The sequence below is a fragment of the Homo sapiens genome, chromosome 7 (genome assembly GCF_000001405.40).
Source record: "Homo sapiens chromosome 7, GRCh38.p14 Primary Assembly".
In the NCBI taxonomy this organism is placed as follows: domain Eukaryota; kingdom Metazoa; phylum Chordata; class Mammalia; order Primates; family Hominidae; genus Homo; species Homo sapiens.
In genome coordinates this window covers 102,380,725-102,400,293 of record NC_000007.14, presented here as the reverse complement: position 1 = coordinate 102,400,293, position 19,569 = coordinate 102,380,725, and the positions used below count along the sequence as shown (strand labels likewise).

Sequence of the window (19,569 nt, the reverse complement as noted above, 5' to 3'; positions counted from 1 at the left end):
CTGTCGCCCAGGCTGGCATGCAATGGTGCAATCTAGGCTCACTGCAACCTCCACCTCCCACGTTCCAGCAATTCTCCTGCCTCAGCCTCCTAAGTAGCTGGGACTACAGTTGCCCACCACCACGCCCAGCTAATTTCTGTATTTTTAGTAGAGACGGGGTTTTGTATTTTTAGTAGAGACTCTGCATTTTGTGCTGTCCGTAGAAGGCAGACCTCACACCAGCCACAACTAGCAGTATCTATTCTTCCTCAAACGCTTTTTTCTTTTCTTTTCTCTCTTTTTTTTTTTTTTTGAGATGGAGTTTCGCTCTTGTTGCCCAGGCTGGAGTGCAATGGCACGATCTTGGCTCACTGCAACCTCCATCTCTTGGGTTCAAGAGATTCTCCTGCCTCAGCCTCCTGAGTAGCTGGGATTACAAGCATGCACCTGGCTAATTTTGTATTTTTAGTAGAGACAGAGTTTCTCCATGTTGGTCAGGCTGGTCTCAAACTCCCGACCTCAGGTGATCCCCTGCCTCGGCCTTCCAAAGTGCTGGGATTACAGGCCTGAGCCACCACGCCCAGCCTCTTCAAATGCTTTTTTCTAAAGAAAGTACACGCACACTGCCCAAACATGGGGGCTCAGCCAGCCTTCTGGCTCACTGACCTTCTCAGCCATGGCATCCATGTAGTCCTGTCGCTGATATTCTCTCCGGCGCAGATGTCTGTACACGTGGAACTCTCCACTGCCGGCCCCAGCACTTGAACCTGTAGCCAGAACAGTCCACAGTTCTAGATGAAATTCAGTTACCAACACAGGTCACCCTTAATCGAGGGTGACTAAAGAAACAAAAAGTGGAAGTCGTGGAAGGGACCATGCCTTCCTTTCTCCCCACTGTATCCAGAACTGGCCCAGTACCTGGCATATTGTAGATGTCGTGAATTATTTGTTCTATGAATGTTGAATGTAAAGTCACTAAAAATCCCACTCAAATGCAGTATCAGGAGGGGCAGACTGTGGTTAAGTGACTTTCTCACCTCCTCCATGATTTCACATTTGACACGCTAAATTTCTAGTGAGTTGAAAAGACATCCATGATACATTAAATGAAATAAAGGTGCTTACAAAGTTGTATATGTAGAACAATCATATTTTTGTAAAAGTGTTTTTTCTTCAGCTTTTTTCTTTTTTTTGAGACAGGGCCTTGCTCTGTCACCCAAGATGGAGGGCAGTGGCGCAATCACAGCTCATTGGAGCCTCAACCTCCTGGGCTCAAGCCATCCTCCTGCCTCAGCTTCCCAAGTAGCTGGGACCAGAGGCATGCACCACTATGCCTGGCTAATTTTTACATTTTTAGTAGAGATGAGGTCTTCCTGTGTTGCCCAGGCTGGTCTCAAACTCGAGCAATTCTCCTGTCTCGGCCTCCCAAAGTGCTGGGATTACAGGCACGAGCCACCGTGCCTGGCCTATGTTGCTTTTTAAAGACATAATGCTATTGCACATTAAACTACAGTAGAGTATAAAGAAAACTTGTATGTGCAGTGGGAAACTAAAGAATTTACATGATTCCCTTTATTGCGACATTCACTTTAACTAGGTTGCCTGGAACTAAACCCGCACCATCTCCATGGTAAGCCTGTAGATATGTTAATTTATGATCCAACAAAATAATAAAACTATTTTTATTTACAAAAAAACCACAATGCGTTATTAAGAATAATGCAGGAGATGGCCGGGCACTGTGGTTCACAGCTGTAATCCTAGCATTTTGGGAGGCTGAGGCGGGCGGATCACCTGAGGTCAGGAGTTCAAGACCAGCCTGGCCAACATAGTGAAACCCAGTCTCTACTAAAAATAAAACAATCAGCCAGGCATGGTGGCACGGGCCTGTAGTCCTAGCTACTCAGGAGGCTAAGGCAGGAGAATCGCTTGAACCCGGAAGGCGGAGGTTGCAGTGAGCCGAGATGGTGTCACTGCACTACAGCCTGGGTGACAGAGTGAGACTCTGTCTCCAAAAGAAAAACAAAAACAAAAACAAAAACAAAAAAAACCGCAATACTGCAGGAGAAAATTCTATAGTGCCAAACCATAAGCAACTATAGCCCTTAAGCTAAATTTACCAATGTCAAATGAAAAACAAATAAAAGCAACTATATCCCCGTCATTGTAAAAGCAAAACACGAACATGTGAACACACATTTCCCCTCATCAGAGATTTAACAAATACCAACTACAGGATTTTTATAGCTACCTTTTTTTTTTCTTTTTGAGACAGAATGTCGCTCTGTTGCCCAGGATGGAGTGCAGTGGCGCCATCTCGGCTCACTGCAAGCTCCGCCTCCTGGGTTCACGCCATTCTCCTGCCTCAGCCTCCCAAGTAGCTGGGACTACAGGTGCCTGCCACCACGCCCGGCTAATTTTTTTTGTATTTTTAGTAGAGACGGGGTTTCACCGTGTTAGCCAGGATGGTCTCGATCTCCTGACCTCATGATCCGCCCGCCTCGGCCTCCCAAAGTGCTGGGATTAGAGGCATGAGCCACCACGCCCAGCCTATAGCTACCTTAAAAAATTATATTTACACACACACACACACACACACACACACACAGCCATTACCCATGACATCTCGGACAAATTCTGGGGGAGGTCGAGGTGCCCATTCACTCATTTTCTCTGGAATTGGAACTGCTTTGTCCTGCAACATTTAAACATGAAAGCATTTAAGTATAAACCTGTTGACAAAATTATATATCTCCCTCTCTTTTTTTAGAGACAGGTTCTTGCTCTGTTCCTCAGGCTGGAGTGCAGTGGTGCAATCAGAGCTCACTGCAGCCTTGAACTCCTGGGCTCAAGTGATCCTCCCGGTTCAGTCTCCAGAATAGTTAGGACTCTCAGGCGTACACCACCACACCAGGCAATTTTTTTATTTTTGTAAAGACAGGGACCCACTATGTTGCCCAGGCTGGTCTTGAACTCCTTCCTGGCCTCGGACCATCCTCCCGCCTGGCCTCCCAAAGCGCTGAAATTACAGGCAGGGGCCACAGCACCCAGCCCAAGTTACATCTCTTAAGACCAAAGAATTTTAATTGACTAATGAAGCAGGACTGCTTTGCTACTTGGACACAGAGCTGATTTTGTGTTCTTCCCTCTGTCGTGGCTTTTTTCATCCTATGTACTCTTGGGTATAACACAGTCCACACCTTCCCAGGGCTACGCTTTCCAGAGCAGAACTGAAAAACCTAAGCCATAGTTTCCAGCTAGAAACCGCCAACTTTAACACTACTAGATAAGAAGAGTCAAGCTTTTCTAGTTAAAGGTATAAAGGACGTTCCCGTTCAATTGTTTTTATGATTGAGGGGACCGAGGCCCAGAGGGGGTGTGAGCGGGAGAGGAGTGACCAGCTCCAAACGTCTCGGCCACTGTCTCTCTAACGATCAGTGTTGTTTAGAGTATACCCTTTTGCTAACCCACAAATTCTACCTTTTCAGTCTAACGCTTTTTGTTCACAGAAAGTTAAACCAGAAGGGGTCTTGGAGCACGGGAAGCCGCTCCACCGTGCTTTGATTCAAGCTGGGCTCTCACACAAGGACAGACGGGAAGTTCACTATCTCCGGGACAGCCTCCTTCTCCTCCTCCTCCCCAAAGACTGCTCTTGGAGGGTCGGATACTGAGTTTCTGAGTTTGGAGGCGGGGAAGGTGGACCTGCGGGAACCCTGAAGCGCTGCAGAGGAAGGGGGTGGGCCTCGGACGGGCCGTGGAGCCTGGGCCTCGTCTCACCGGGTTCTTCATGAGCCGCTCCAGCTTGAGCTTCTGCTCCTCCGCCGCATTCTTGGGGATGACGAGCGTCTGCGGCTCTTTCTTGGGCCTCGGTGGTCGCACCGAGGAGGCGGCTGGGCTAGCCATGGCAGCCTTCCAGTTTCACAAGCGAGCGGCGGCGTCGGCGCGCAAGTATGACGACACAGCCGCGCGCCGGCGACGCATACGCAGTCTCCGCAGAGGGGAACGGAGGCGGGGTTGCAAGGCGCAAGCAGCCTGCTGAATATTCATGAGCCTGAGGCTGGCGTGGGTTATTGTGTTCAAAGCTGCGGGGTTTCATTTCCTGTTCCTGAACAACAAATCAGTGCAGCTAGATGCTCACGTCCCTGAAGGGGAGGTGGCCCTCCGTGCCTGAGTAGCCTGGCCCTAGCCGACCTCTCCAGTCCCCGCGGGCGTCTTCGTGCCACCGAGCAGCCCCGCTGATGCTCTCGGCACCTCCTCCCCGTCGGCTCTCCTCGCCTCCCGGCTTTGTCCGGGCACTTCCTTGGATCTGGTGCCCCCTCCTCCATTTCTGACAATCTCCTGTTTACATAAGACAGCGCAAACATGTCACTGAGCTTCCTGAAGACTGGGACATTCCTCCTTTGTCCGCCTTGAATTACTCTATACCTGGCCCCCCGCAAATACACCTCTGCCAATGAATGACCGTCTCGTAGTGTGAGGCACAGTAATAAACCTAAGGAACCATGTCTGCTCATTCTGCTTGCGAGCAGGATTTCACAAAGGCCGTGACTCGGTGACTGAGCGCAGCCCTCTCCAATAACGCCCTGAACAATAAGCTGGGAAGAGCGAGAGAGAACACAGGTTTCCACCTCTCTTGCCTGAACACTGCATTTTTAGAAAAGACAAGTTCAATGATCCTAGCCCCTGCCTCTTCCTGTACATAATCTCTGACGGGATTAATGATTATGCTTCTATAACTTTTTTTTTTTTTTTAGAGACAGGGTCTCGCTTGGTTGCCCAGGCTGGAGTGCAGGGGCTCGATCATAGGTCACTGCTGCCTTGAACTCCCGGGTTCAGGCACTCCTCCCACCTCAGCCTCCTGAGTAGCTGAGACTACAGGCGCATGCCACCACACCCAGTTAATTTTTTATTTTTATTTTTTGCAGAGACAAGGTGTTGCTGTGATGCCCAGGCTGGTCTTGAACTCCTGGGCTCAAGCGATCCTCCTGCCTGGGCCTCCGAAAGTGCTGAAATTATAGGTGTTAAGTCACCATGCCCAGCCAAGCCTCTGTAATCTGTAACTAGATAATACCCTCACACACAGCCTTGATGAAATTTTGCTCTATTGTTAACTTCTGAGCACATTAGATATAACTTTTTTTTTTTTTTTTTGAGACAGAGTCTCACTCTGTCCCCCAGGCTAGAGCTCAGTGATGCAATCTCGGCTGACTGCAGCCTCTGCCTCCCAGGTTCAAGTGATCCTCCTGCTTCAGTCTCCTGAGTAGCTGGGAATACAGGTGCACGCCACCACGCCTGGCTAATTATTGTATTTTTAGTAGAGATGGAGTTTCACCATGTTGGCCAGGCTTGTCTCGAACTCCTGACATCAGGTGATCCACCCGCCTCAGCCTCCCAAAGTGCTGGGATTATAGGCATGAGCCACCACGCCCAGCTTGATATAACTTCTGAGCACATGCAGGGCACCACCAACTGTATATAAATGTTTTTATATAAACTGTATATAAATATAAATATATAAATGTGTGCTGAAACTCTGTTTTGGAGCAGTTTAACAAACTCTGTGAAAGACTTTCCCTGGTTACAGTCCTCAGTAAGATTGCAAAAAACCAACCTTAATTTTTTAAAAGCCTGATTTTTTGTTTAGTTGACATTGAGAAACAGAAAAGGCCCGGCATGGTGGCTCACACGTGTAATCCCAACGTTTTGGGAGGCCGAGATGGGCAGATCACTTGAAGTCAGGAGTTTGAGACCAGCATGGCCAACATGGTGAAACCCCATCTCTATTAAAAATACAAAAATTAGCCAGGTGTGGTGGTGTGTGCCTGTAATCCCAGCTATTCAGGAGGCTGAGACAGGAGAATAGCTTGAAACTGGGAGATGGAGGTTGCTGTGAGCCAAGATCGTGCCACTGCACTCCAGCCTGGGTGACAGAGCAAGACTCTGTGTCTAAAAAAAAGAAAAAGAAAAAGAAAAAAAAATTAGAGAGAGAAAGAGAAAGAGAAAAGCTGTTGCTCACATACATTTGGTGTTACAGACCATAGGCTGTTTGGCTCCCCTTGTAATGAAACTTAACAGGGATCCAAGCAGATTTCCCAGACAAGGCATTTATTTCAGAGCTTGTGCTTGAGTGCAGGGAAGACAATGGAAGCAGAAGTGAAGGGATCCTCCAGCTGACTTGTGGAAGAGCCAGTGGGGAATTTTTTTTTTTTTTGTGAGACAGAGTGTTGCTCTGTCGCCAGGCTGGAGTGCAGTGGTGCGAACTCAGCTCACTGCACCTCCGTTTCCCAGGTTCAAGCAATTCTCCTGCCTCAGCCTCCCGAGTAGCTGGGACTACAGGTGCACGCCACCACGCCCGGCTAATTTTTTGTCTTTTAGTAGAGACAGGGTTTCACCATGTTGGCCAGGATGGTCTCAATCTCCTGACCTCATGGTTCGCCCGCCTCGGCCTCCCAAAGTGCTGGGATTACAGGCATAAGCCACTGCGCCTGGCTGGGAATTTTTTTTATTAGGCAAAGCATGGGAATTGACATCAGGGGTAGGGTATGCAGGCTGGGCTGGGCAAAGCACGTGAGGGTATGCAGGTCGCATATCTGGTTTTGAGGGTATGCAGGTCGCATATCTGGTTGCGATGGTTATCTTAAGTAATGAGTCACCTGGTAGTCTGGCTGGTGGCAACAAGGGTGTCAATCAATTGTTCAGCATTCCTTCCCGAGGTGGGACACTCCGCAAGCTTCATTTGATATTTGGATCTCCTAAGGCCAGTCTCTGGAATTCTTTTTTTTTTTTTTTTTTTTTTGAGACAGTTTCGTTCTTTATTTTCTTTGTATGACTAAAGCCTCGGGGTTAGCAGCTATATTGTCAGCGAGGCAATGGTGTGGGTTTTGTGATCAGTGGGACAAAAGAAGGAAAAAGGGAAAGGATGTGAAGGAGAAGCTCTGTCCAGTTCCTGTTCTGTTTCCCTGGGAGCTGGACAGACATTCACAGCTGGGTCTTGGTGTTCTCTTGTCAAACAAAAGTAATTTCCAGGACACCAACATCACACAAGACCATTCCGTGACCACAAAAACCTGGTGTGGTGGCTCATGCCTGTAATCCCAGCACTTTGGGAGGCCGAGGTGGGCAGATCACCTGAGGTCAGGAGTTTGAGACCAGCCTGGCCAACATGGTGAAACCCCGTCTCTACTAGAAATACAAAAAATAGCCAGGCGTGGTGGTGCACACCTGTAATCCCAGCTACTCGGGAGGCTGAGGCTGGAGAATTGCTTGAACCTGGGAGGCAGAGGTTGCAGTGAGCTAAGATTACGCCTTTGCACTCCAGCCTGGGCGACAGAGCAAGACTCTGTCTCAAAATAAATAAATAAATAAAAATAAAAATAAAAGAAACATTTGCTGGAGGGACATGGGCTCCTAGGGACAGGGTCGCCCTCCCACTGAGTCCCCAAGAGGATGAACAGGTGGACAAGTGGATGGTACCTGGAGGGTGAAGTGTTTGTTCTCCAAAGGTCATTCCTGGCTGCCCAATAGTGGGTGGTTTTCTAGGAGCTCAGGGTGGAATTAAGGGTCCTTAGTGGCCCAGGTCTGTCACTGGAACCTGGGGAGGGCTTGGCCTGGCTGGGGCCATGCACACAAACTCACCCAGGATCACACACATTAGCAACCAGTACCTCACTTTTCTCCAAACACTCCACAGAACGAAGGTTTTTGTCTACAAAACAAAGCATCTTTTCCTCCTTGGAGAACTCCCATACAGGCTTCTCAACTTGGCCAAAATGCTACCTCCTCCAAGAAGCCTTCTCAGATTGCCTCTCCCACCCCTCACTTCCAGGAAGTGAATTGCTCCCTTCTTGGTGCTCTCCCAGCTCTGAATCCCAATAACTGGTGAAGTAGTTACCACTATGTCCTCACCATCTGTGTCCCCATGGGCTTGGCAGTGTGGTGGGCTGGGCCAGAATCCCAGCATCTAACCCTGGCATGGTGTAGAGTGGGTACTTCCAGGATGCTTGGAGAATAAAGGAATGAAAACATATATGAAGACTGAATAGACGTGTCAGTGAGATGAGCAAGTGATGGATGAATGAATGAATAAGGACATTAAGAGAAAGAATGAAGACTCAATCAATAAAAGGACACTTAATAAATGAACATGTGAGGCCACGGACTATCAGAAAGCCACAGAGCCAGGAGTGCGGGGCAGTGTCTGTCCGGTTGGTAAAGGTCTCCCTGGCACCCCCAGCCTCAGTGTCTGTCACAGAGCTGGTGCTTGGCAGATATCTGCTGGATGAAAGTTAAGCGAATGAATGGAGTGAAGGAATGCATGAAGGCAAGAGAGAGTTAAGGCATGTGGGTGTGAAGGAGCTGGTAATAACTTCAGTGTCTAAGTCTGGTCTAAATTGTGGACATATTTATCAGCAGATATATGTTTTTCAATAGACGGGGTCTCACTCTGTCACCAGGCTGGAGTGCGGTGGTGCCAGTATAGCTAACTGCAGCCTCGAACTCCTGGGCTCAAGGGATCCTCCTGACTCAGTGTCCAGAAAAGCTAGGGCTACAGGCAGGTACCACTATGCCCAGCTAATTTTTCACATTTTTTGTAGACATGGGGTATTGCTATGTTTCCCAGGCTGACCTCAAGCAATTCTTCAGCCTTGGACTCCTGAGTAGCTATGACAACAGGCTGGTGCCACCACACTCAGCTAACTTTTTATTTTTATTTTTTGAGAGGGAGTTTCTCTCTTGTCACCCAGGCTGGAGTGCAATGGCGCGATCTCGGCTCACTGCAACCTCTGCCTCCCAGGTTCCAGCGATTCTCCTGCCTCAGCCTCCTGAGTAGCTGGGATTACAGGCACCCGCCACCATGCCCGGCTAATTTTTGTATTTTTAGTAGAGACAGGGTTTCGTCATGTTGGCCAGGCTGGCCCCGAACTCCTGATCTCAGGTGATCCACCCGCCTCAGCTTCCCAAAGTGCTGGGATTACAGGCGTGAGCCACCTTGCCCAGCCTAATATTTTATTTATTTATTTATTTATTTATTTATTTATTTATTTATTTGGTAGAGCTGGAGTCTTGCTATGTTGCCCAGGCTATCATCCTGATTCTACTGAAATGGAACTGAGGCCCAGAGGAGAAAGCAATTGGCTCAGGGCCACACAGACTCAAACCCAGCAGTCTAGCCCTGGGTCTGTGACAGCCTGAGTGATTATGTGACTCACACAGATGGGACAGGGCCCCAGCAGACCCTGGCGGGAACCCTGGTGGCACCCTCCTAGGTGGCACCTTCCTGGTGGCACCTTCCTGGGGCTGAGGTCAGATTTGAGGTCCGGCTCCCTGGGATGAAAGGCCGCCTCACAGATGCCCACAAGTCTCACACCCAGGGTGATGTCCCTTCTGCCACCAGAGGGCAGCAAATCCCCACCCAGGTCCCGCCACTAGGAGCCTTAATCCACCTTTCCTGAGATCCAGAACTGGGCACCCAGGGAGCAAGGTCTACTGGCTGGAAGATACCAGTGCGTTGCAGACTGGCAGACTGGGTGCCACCTACCCTGGGCTTGCACAAGCAACCTAACCTCTCTAAGGCTGTTTCCTTATGTGCAAAATTGGTACAAGCGAATCTACCTTGTCGCTGGCACATGGGTAAAATGACGTTTGGACATGCAGTGTCCAGCAGAGCCTGACATTCAATAACATGGCTCACGCCTGTAATACCAGCACTTTGGGAGGCTGAGGCAGGTGGATGATCTGAGGTCAGGAGTTCGAGACCAGCCTGGCCAACATGGTGAAACTCCGTCTCTACTAAAAATACAAAAAAAATTAGCCGGGCGTGTGGGGTGGGGGGAGCTGCCTGTAATCCCACCTACTCGGGAGGCTGAGGCAGGAGAATTGCTTGAGCCCAGGAGGCGGAGGCTGTACTGAGCCAAAATCGCACCTCTGCACTCCAGCCTGGGAGACAGAGAGAGACTCTGTCTGAAAAAAAAAAAAAAAAATAGGTGACCACACTTGTCCTAGTTTGATCCTAGGACTGAAGGGTTTCCCAGAAAGTGGGACCTTCAGTGCTAAAACCAGGAGAATCTTGGGCAAGCCAGGATGGTTGATTACCCTAGACGAGTGGGTACTCCTATCTCAATTCTTTGAGTAGTGGTTGATACTTTAAGTACTAAAACAGCAGGGTTTTTTTTCTTTTTTCTTTTTTTCTTTTCTTTTCTTTTTTTTTTTGAGACAGAGTTTCACTCTCGTTACCCAGGCTGGTCTCAAACTAGAGAAATGAAAATATATGTCCACTGACTGACCTGTATGCAAATACAAACAGTAGCTTGATTCATAATTGCCAAAAACTGGAAACAACCCATATGTCCATCAAATTGAGATCTAGACCTACAGGGAAATACTACTTAGCAATAAAAGGAAGGAGCTTTTGCTGAGTGCGGTGGCTCATGACTGTAATCCCAGCACTTTAGGAGGCTGAAGAGGGAGGATCACTTGAGGCCGGGAGTTCAAGACCAGCCTGGCCAACAAGATGAAAGCCTATCTCTACTAAAAATACAAAAATTAGCTGGGCATGGTGGTGTGCACCTGTAATCTCAGGTACTTGGAAGGCTGAGGCAGGAGGATTGCTTGAACCCAGGAGGCGGAGGTTGCAGTGAGTCGGATTAAGAAGGTGGATTAAGATATCATACCACTGCACTCAGCCTGGGCGACAGTGAGACCCCATCTCAAAAAAAAAGGGGACCAGGTGTGGTGGCTCATGCCTGTAATCCCAGCACTTTTGGAGGCCGAGGCGGGCAGATCACGAGGTCAGGAGATCAAGACCATCCTGGCTAACAGGGTGAAACCCAGTCTCTACTAAAAATACAAAAAAATTAGCCAGGTGTGGTGGTGTGCACCAATAGTCCCAGCTATTCAGGAGGCTGAGGCAGGAGAATGGCGTGAACCCGGGAGGCGGAGCTTGCAGTGAGCCGAGCTCGTGCCACTGCACTCCAGCCTGGGCGACAGAGTGAGACTCCATCTCAAAAAAAAAAAAAAGAAAAAGAAAAAAGAAAAAGGAAGGAAGGACCTCTTGAGGCTTGCAATAACGTGGATGGATCTCAGATGCATTATGTTTAGTGAGTGAAGTCAGATCTATTAATAGAAGGCCACAACCTGAATGGTTCCATTTACTTGATGTTCTGGAAAAGCCAAAATGATAGGGATGGAAAACAGATCAGCAGTTGCCATGGGCCAAGTAGGAGGACGGGACTGACCTGGGAGGGCCTCAGGGAACTTTCTTGGGTAATAGATATTTTTTCCCCTCCCTCCCTCCCTCCCTCCCTTCCTCCCTTCCTACCTTCTTTCCTTCTTTTGAGATGGTGTCTCACTCTGTTGCCTAGACTGGAGCGCAGTGGCGTGACCATAGCCCATTGCAGCCTCAAACTCCTGGGCTTCAGTGATCCTCCTGCCACAGCCTCCTGAATAGCTGGGACTATTGGTGCACACCACCACACCTGGCTATTTTTACTTTATTATTATTATTATTTTTGTAGAGATGATGTCTTGCTGTATTGCCCAGGCTGGTCTCAAACTCCTGGCTTCCAGTGATCCTTCTATCCCCAGAATCCCAAAGCACTGGGATTATAGGCATGATCCACTGCACCTGGCCTCTCTGCATAATATTTGGATGACAAAAATGTTCTATATCTGAATTGTGGTGGCAGCTACACAACCATCCACATTTATCAAACTTATTTAACCATATACTTCTATTTATTTATTCATAGACAGAGTTTCACTCTGTCGCCCACACTGGAGTGCAGTGTCTCGATCTCTGCTCACTGTAACTTCTGCCTCTCAGCCTCAAGCAATCCTCCCATCTCAGCTTCCCGAGTAGCTGGGACTACAGGCACGCACCACCATGTGCAGCTAATTTTTGTATTTTTTGGTTTTGTTTTTTTGTAGAGATGGGGGTCTCACTATGTTGCCCAAGCTGGTCTCAAACCAGAGTCCTGGGATTACAGGTGTGAGCCACTGTGCCTGGACTTGAACCATATACTTTAAAAGGGTGGATTTAATCATATGAACATTGTACCTCAATAAACTTGACCTAATTTACAGTGTGGATTTGCCAGGTTGCAGGGGAGCTAACCCTCCATTGTCTGAGTTGCTTTCGTGAGGAGTTCAGCCTTTAGCTCCTTGTGCCCTCTGAGGCAGCTCGGGCCTGTAAATCTGCCCTGCTCACCATAAGGCCAAGGCTTGGGGTGACAGGTTTTTGAAAACCCAGAGGCCAATGTGGTTGAAGCCCCCACACTTCTTTTTATTTATTGGTTTACTTATTATTATTATTTTTGAGACAGAGTCTCGCTGTGTCATCCAGGCTGGAGGGCAGTGGGGCAATCATAACTCACTGCAGCCTCAACCTCCTGGGCTCAAGTGAACCTCCCAACTCAGCCTCCTGAGTAGCTGGGACTACAGGAGCACATCACCACGCCTGGCTAATTTTTATTTTATTTTATTTTATTTATTTTTTTGAGACGGAGTCTCGCTGTCGCCCAGGCTGGAGTACAGTGGCGCAATCTCAGCTCACTGCAAGCTCTGCCTCCTGGGTTCACGCCATTCTCCTGCCTCAACCTCCTGAGTAGCTGGGACTACAGGCGCCCACCACCACGCCCAGCTAATTTTTTTGTATTTTCAGTAGAGACGGGGTTTCACCGTGTTAGCCAGGATGGTCTCAATCTCCTGACCTCGTGATCCGCCCGCCTCGGCCTCTCAAAGTGCTGGGATTACAGGCATGAGCCACCGCGCCCGGCCTACGCCTGGCTAATTTTTAAATTTTCTGTAGAGATGGTGTCTTGCTCTGTTGTCCAGGCTGGTCTCGAACCCCTGAGCTCATGTGATCCTCCTGCCTCAGCCTCCAAAAGTGATTATCACACCACTGCCCTCCAGCTTGGGTGACAGAGTGAGCCCTTGTCTCAAAAAACAAAAAAACAAAACAAAAAAGATAGCTTCTCTATGGAGGTCACACAGTGTCTGTCCTAAGCCATTCCAGTGATTGTGCAATTGGTCCATCAGCAGAATGGCCACGCGCAGGACTGAAGGCTACACATGGGCACGATGGCGTGAGCTCACTCTCAGCAAGGCTGATATATTTACTGCTGTTACTGAATGCCTGAACTGAATGACCCATGATACAGTGCGATCCTTTGAAGAGCCCAGTCAGCCTCTTGGGGGTAAGTTGATTACACTGGCCGCCTTTCATCCCAGAGGGGGGCATTGATTTGTCTTACTCTAATTGGTACTACACCAGAAATGGACTGGCCTTTTCTATCTGCAGTACCTCTGCCAGCACCATCATTCAAGGGCTTGTAAAATGCATCTGACTTGTGGGGAAGGGATCTCCTATGTCATCTCTTCAGACCAAGGGGTCATTTAGGGCAAAGAAGATGCAGCATGGCCAGGTGCGGTGGCACATGCCTATAATCCCAACGCTTTGGGAGGCTGAGGCAGGTGGATCACCTGAGGTCAGGAGTTCAAGGCCAGCCTGGCCAACATGACGAAATCCCGTCTCTACTAAAAATACAAAAAAAAACAAAAGAAAAAAATTAGCTGGGTGTGGTGGCACACGTCTGTGCTCTCAGCTACTGGGGAAGCTGAGGCAGGAGAATCGCTTGAACCCAGGAGATGGAGGTTGTAGTGAGCTGAGATCGCACCACTGCACTCCAGCCTGGGCGATAGAGCGAGACTCAGTCTCAAATACAAACAAACAAAACTTAACAACTGGCCAGACATGGTGTCCCAGCTACTAGAGAGACTGAGACAGGAGGATGGCTTGAGTCCAGGGGTTCAAGATCAGCCTGGGCAATATAGCAAGACTTCCATCTCTATCAAAAAAAAAGAAAAAGTAAAAAAACTAACTGGCTTCAGAGGGGAAGGGGATAAAACTGTGATTGGTAGCATTTGCCTATCATACTATTATATAAATATTCCCATAGTGGTCAATGTCAAGCTACTAGCGCGATATCAGCTGGTTCACAAAAGTCTTGAAATTTTAAAAATTGTTTCTCATGAGAGGATACAAGCCAGCTTCATCATGTCACTGTGACCATATATGTCCATAGATTAAGTTGTTCAAATCTTCTATATCCTTACTAATTATTTGTCTAACTATTTTATCAGTTTCTGTTGAAAAGTATGTTAAAATTTCCCACTATTTTTCGTTTAGCTATTTAGTCTTATAGAGTTGTTGATTTTTGCTTTATGTATTTTAAGACAATATTACTAGGTACATGCAAATTTAGAATTCTTTTATCTTCCTGGTGAATTTAACTTTTTATTACAGTGAAGAGTTACTGTTTATCTTGAGGAATAATTTTTTTTAACCTTTAAACCTTGATATTTATTTTTAATATAGCATTATATTAACTGCCTCTGGAGAGAATTTACCTTGGCTTCTGCCAGGATATACATTGCTAGCGCTTGAGAGTGCCAACAATCTATGAATCTATGATTACTTTTATTCAGTTTCAGGAACGGAGATGATTAGAAGCTGGACTTTAGTCCACAGAAGGGCTGGTCTATTTCTTTCTTTTCTATTTTTTTTTCTTTTTTGAGACAGAGTGTCGTTCTGTCACCTAGGCTGGAGTGCAGTGGTGTGATCTCGGCTCACTGCAACCTCCGCCTCCTGGGTTCAAGGAATTCTTGTGACACCTCAGCCTCCCAAGTAGCTGGGACAACAGGTGTGCACCACCATGCCCGGCTAATTTTTGTATTTTTAGTAGAGACAGGGTTTCACCATGCTGGCCAGGCTGGTCTGGAACTCCTGACCTCAAGTGATCTGCCCGCCTTGGCCTCCCAAAGTGCTGGGATTATGGGTGTGAGCCACTGTGCCTGGCTTTCTGGTCTATTTCTGATTCCTAGGATGCAGCATTTTTTTTGGTTTCACTCCAAAGTGCAGAGACTTTAATAGGGCCCCTTGCCTTGGCAGGTCCTGTATTCAAATAATTGTTCCCTAGCCCAACAAGGCTGTTGAAAGCCTTCTCAGCCTTTTAGACATTCATCCACCTCTTCCAAATTGGCAGACAACTCCAGGAAAAAGTAGTTTGAAATGCTGGGCTCACCTCTCCAGATTTTTTGTTCTTCTCCCAGGCTGTAGCCTCATCATTCTTCACTACCTCCTCAACATTACAATGGCTTAAGATTTTAAAAAATACATTTGACCAGCTTTCCTATCTTACTCACTGAGTGGGTTGGTTGGAGATACTTAATGTGCCATTATAGGGAGTGGAGGTCTTAGTAGACATTTTCTTTTCTTTTTTGAGACAGGGTCTCTCTCTGTCACCCAGGCTGGAGTGCAATGGTGCGATTATAGCTCACTGCAGCCTCAACCTCCCGGGCTCAAGCGATCTGCCCACCATGGCCTCCCAAAGTGCTGGGATTACAGGCAAGAGCCACCATGCCCGGCTGATACTATTTTTTTGGAAATGGAGTTTCACTCTTGTTGCCCAGGCTGGTGTACAATGGCGTGATCTCGGCTCACTGCAACCTCCACCTCCCCGGTTCAAGCGATTCTCCTGCCTCAGCCTCCCGAGTAGCTGGGATTACAGGCGCCCGCCACCATGCCTGGCTAATTTTTGTATTTTTAGTAGAGATGGGGTTTCACCATGTTGGCCAGGCTGGTCTCGAACTCCTGACCTCAGGTGATCTGCCCACCTCGGCCTCCCAAAGTGCTGAGATTACAGGCGTGAGCCACTGCACCTGGCCCTTACTGAGCTTTGAATCCAGTAGGTGCATTTTTGGCCCTATTGGAGCAGACAACCTACTGTCATTTGTGGAAATTAGCAAGCTTGTACACAAACAATGTACAAATACAGGCTGGTTAAGAGAGGTTGGAAATATGACTCAGGACTAATCATTAAGTAAGAGAATATTACACAGGTAGTAGCCTTCCCTGTCATACACCTTGCTTTCAAATTTATTTTCAGTCAGCACCTAATTTTTTTTTTGTTTTTTTTTTTGAGATGGAGTCACCCTGTCGCTCAGGCTAGAGTACAGTGGTGCGATCTCGGCTCACTGCACCCTCCCCCTCGTGCGTCCAAGTGATTCTCCTGCCTCAGCCTCCTGAGTAGCTGGGATTACAGGTGCCCACGACCAAGCCCAGCTAATTTTTGTGTTTCAGTAGAGATGGAGTTTCATCATGTTGTCCTCTCAAACTCCTGACCTCAAGTGATCTACCCGCCTTGCCCTTCCAAAGTGCTGGGATTACAGGTGTGAGCCACCGTGCCCAGCCAGCACCCAATAATTTAATTGGCATACTGAACCCTGTTCCACCCGGAAGTCAGTGGACTTCACATTTCTCTGCTGTTTGATCTTAAATAAGAGCAACAGACTAGGAGAGGTGAGAAAGTGCTGATTAAGCCCGAGGGTAAATAGGAGTTAAGCAAACAAGAGAAGAGGAAAGAGCGATGCAGATAGAGGGAGCAGCACATGTGAAGATCCTGTGGTCGGACCCAGCGTGATGTTTTAGGAACTCCTCGGACAGTGTAGCTAGAGTACAGAGCAAAGGAGGAAATTGGGTGAGGTAAGGTAGCCAGGGGCCAAATGATACAAGATGTCTGTGAAGCCATGTTAAATATTTGACGTTTTATCCTAAGCACCTAGGAGGTTAGCAAGGGGGAGACAGTGACAATATCACTCGTCGCCCAGGCTGGAGTGCAGTGGCATGATCTCTGCTCACTGCAACCTCCGCCTCCCAAGTTCAAGCGATTCTCCTGCCTCAGCCTCCCGAGTAGCTGGGATTATAGGCACTCACACCACACCTGGCTAATTTTTGTACTTTTAGTAGAGACGGGGTTTCACCATGTTGGCCAGGCTGATCTCAAACTCCTGACCTCAAGTGATTCACCTCCCTGGGCCTCCCAAAGTGCTGGGATTACAGGCGTGAGCCACCGCGCCCGGCCTTGTTTTAAGCATTTGGGGATCAATTGCAGGGACCTATTGGACTATGGGGAAAATGAGATGGTTCTACTCCTGTATTTTAAAGTCTTCCTTTTCCTTTTGGTTTCTTTAGTTTGTAGTTAAGGCTTTGCAGACTTGCATCCCATAATGTCTTCTTTTCTTTCATTTTTTTTATTTTTTGAGACAGAGTCTCACTTTGTCACCCAGGCTGGAGTACAGTGGTGCGATCATAGCTCACTGCAGCCTTGAACTCCTGGACTCAAGCAGTCCTCCCACCTCAGCCTCCTGAATAGCTGAATACAGGCATGCGCTACCATACCTGGCTAATTATTATTATTGTTTTTGTAGAAATGGGGTCTTGCTCTATAGCCCAGGCTGGTCTTGAACTCCTGGGCTCAAGCCATCCTCCTGCCCTGGCCTCCCAAAGTGCTGGGATTATAGGCATGAGCCACGGTGCCCAGCCTTTGTCTTAGTTTTTGGTCCCCCTCACCCGACCCCAGAGTTCTAGAACCATTCCCTTGCAAAGAAAGGGACTGCTCACGGCTGGGGATGGAGAAGTGCTGTGGTAGGAGCCCTTTCTTCTCTTTCTTCCCCAGCTGGATCGCCAAACCTACCCTGCGGTCGTCGTCTTCCTGGCCCCATAGCTCCTCCTCACCAAGCATGTCTTCCCCACTGCAGAGAGCTGTGGGAGATACCAAGAGGGCCTTGTCTGCATCTTCTAGTTCCTCTGCCAGTCTACCCTTCGATGACAGGGACTCAAACCATCCCTCAGAGGGTAAGTAGATGTTGCATTGTGCGGCCACTTCCTGTGTCCGTGGCAGCCTTCCCCCTCTCGTTTTCCCACATTGATGATAATATTCGTGGGACTGTGTGAATACACCAGAAGTGCTGTACTCGTTCAGCACAGTGACACCCTCCCTCCAGCTCCAGGTGTTTTTTTTTTGGTGGTCCTAGATGTTGTAGACATCAAAATAGTAGTACATCCTGTTTTTTGTTTGTTTGTTTGTTTGTATGAGATGGAATCTTGCCCTGTCGCCCAGGCTGGAGTGCAGTGGTGTGATCTTGGCTCACTGCAACCTCCGCCTTCCGGGTTCAAGCACATCCTGTTTTTAATCCATCATCCATCGTGTCTAAACCTCTCTTAAACACATTTCTGTGTTCAGCATGTACAACCCCTGGTGGGGGCTGGGAGGTGGCAGATGGGTGAGTAAAGAGTTCTTTACTTGTTGCCTGGTAAATTGTATAAACTTTTTATCTGGTGTCCCCTAGTTCTTCTACTTGGGGATTTTGTAAACAGGTCTGTGTATCCTTATTTATTACCACATATGAGGTTATTTTGTGTAGGTTATAATAATATATCTTGGTTTTTTATCTTTCCAGAAGGAAAAAAGCTAATGTCATACAGATCTGCTTTATCCCCTGGCTGTTTTAATTGGCTTTCTCTGAATCATTTCTGTTTCTGTCAGTGCTGCTGTGGTGTACCCGATTATATCAATGTTACACACTTGAATTGATATGACATGTGGTTGATGTTTCATGGGTGAAATTTAACTCTAGGTCCATATTACTCTCCCATTTATGGATGAGTGATGGATGACTTCCTGGGCCATGATTGTTTTTCTCTACAAAGAGCAGTGATCTCTCTACCCGCTAAGTGAGTAGCATTTGATTCTCTTCTTCGGAGAGAATACTAGGAAGGGTTGTCCTTCCCGTGCCTCATTTCCTCATTCTTCGTCTCCACTGCTTTCATGTGAAAGTTTTCCTTTAAGACTTTGTCCTGGCCGGGTGTGGTGGCTTACGCCTGTAATCCCAACACTTTGGGAGGCCAAGGCAGGTGGATCACCTGAGGTCAGGAGTTTGAGACCAGCCTGGCCAACATGGTGAAACACCTGTAATCCCAGCTACTCGGGAGACTGAGGCAGGAGAATCACTTGAACCTGGGAGGTGGAGGTTGCAGTGAGCCGTGATCACACCATTGCACTCCAGCCTGGGTGACAGGAGTGAAACTCTGTCTCAAAAAAAAAAAAAAGACTTTGTCCCAACTTCCTACTAACAATAAGCTCATTTTTTCTTAAATTCTGAATATGTTTTTCTCATGGAGATGGGATGCAGTGAGAGACAGAGAAACTAATTCATTAGCCTTTTATATGGAGGGAATTAGGGTGGTTATATTTAAAGAGAACGGTACTTTCTCACAGGAATACTGACTCTTTATTAGCTGATGAAGGCAATGACTTTGAAGACAGCTTGAATCACAGTGTGAAGAAGAAAGCAGCAAAACGACCACCAAAAGCAACACCGGTGAGTCAGCCAGTTTTCTTTTGTTTTTGAATCTTGTGGGGGAAGCAGCCCAGCTACTTGGGAGGCTGAGGCAGGACAATAGCATGAACCCAGGGGGCAGAGCTGGCAGTGAGCCGAGATCACGCCACTGAACTCCAGCCTGGGTGATAGAGCGACACTCCGTCTCAAAAAAAAAAAAAAAAAAAAACCTAAAAGAGGTTCAGGTGATATGGTTCATAAAAGGACAAGATTTACAAAGTGTTAAGGGACGGAAATAGGAAGAAGAGAAATTTTGAAGAGAAAAGAAGAGAAAAGGACGTTAGGATATAGGGATACAGGAAGGGGACTCAAGGACTTTTTTTTTTTAAGGGAAAAAAGTTAATAAACTTCATA

The 19,569-nt window shown here is 47.7% G+C and overlaps 1 protein-coding gene and 1 long non-coding RNA gene across 2 annotated transcripts in view, besides 4 other annotated features; both read right to left on the bottom strand.

The window, feature by feature from the left end:
• The window catches only part of PRKRIP1 (PRKR interacting protein 1), a 30,304-nt gene extending 26,373 nt beyond the window's left edge, over positions 1–3,931 (bottom strand). Inside the window, exons 1-3 of the mRNA NM_024653.4 lie at positions 3,757–3,931; positions 2,596–2,674; positions 646–746 (exon numbers count right to left, since the gene is read on the bottom strand). Of these exons, the coding sequence (NP_078929.1) occupies positions 646–746; positions 2,596–2,674; positions 3,757–3,882 (306 nt within the window). The 5' untranslated portion in view covers positions 3,883–3,931. The remainder of the gene's footprint in view (positions 1–645; positions 747–2,595; positions 2,675–3,756) is intronic.
• LOC100630923 (LOC100289561-PRKRIP1 readthrough) overlaps positions 1–19,569 on the bottom strand; it is a 62,822-nt gene that overhangs the window by 26,389 nt on the left and 16,864 nt on the right. The window contains 2 exon segments of the long non-coding RNA NR_038967.1: positions 646–746; positions 2,596–2,674. This is a non-coding gene — a long non-coding RNA (LOC100289561-PRKRIP1 readthrough).
• Positions 3,413–3,954: an enhancer, noted in NCBI's record as "OCT4-NANOG-H3K27ac-H3K4me1 hESC enhancer chr7:102036787-102037328 (GRCh37/hg19 assembly coordinates)". NCBI's record gives its function as "activates a minimal SCP1, AML or CMV promoter by ChIP-STARR-seq in primed H9 embryonic stem cells {active_cell/tissue: H9 hESC(primed)}" and the evidence as "EXISTENCE:reporter gene assay evidence [ECO:0000049][PMID:30033119]".
• Positions 3,413–3,975: a biological region, named in NCBI's record as "OCT4-NANOG-H3K27ac-H3K4me1 hESC enhancer GRCh37_chr7:102036787-102037328".
• Positions 3,736–3,975: an enhancer, noted in NCBI's record as "active region_26428". NCBI's record gives its function as "activates an Ori minimal core promoter by ATAC-STARR-seq in GM12878 lymphoblastoid cells {active_cell/tissue: GM12878}" and the evidence as "EXISTENCE:reporter gene assay evidence [ECO:0000049][PMID:35858748]".
• Positions 3,996–4,075: a silencer, noted in NCBI's record as "silent region_18503". NCBI's record gives its function as "represses an Ori minimal core promoter by ATAC-STARR-seq in GM12878 lymphoblastoid cells {active_cell/tissue: GM12878}" and the evidence as "EXISTENCE:reporter gene assay evidence [ECO:0000049][PMID:35858748]".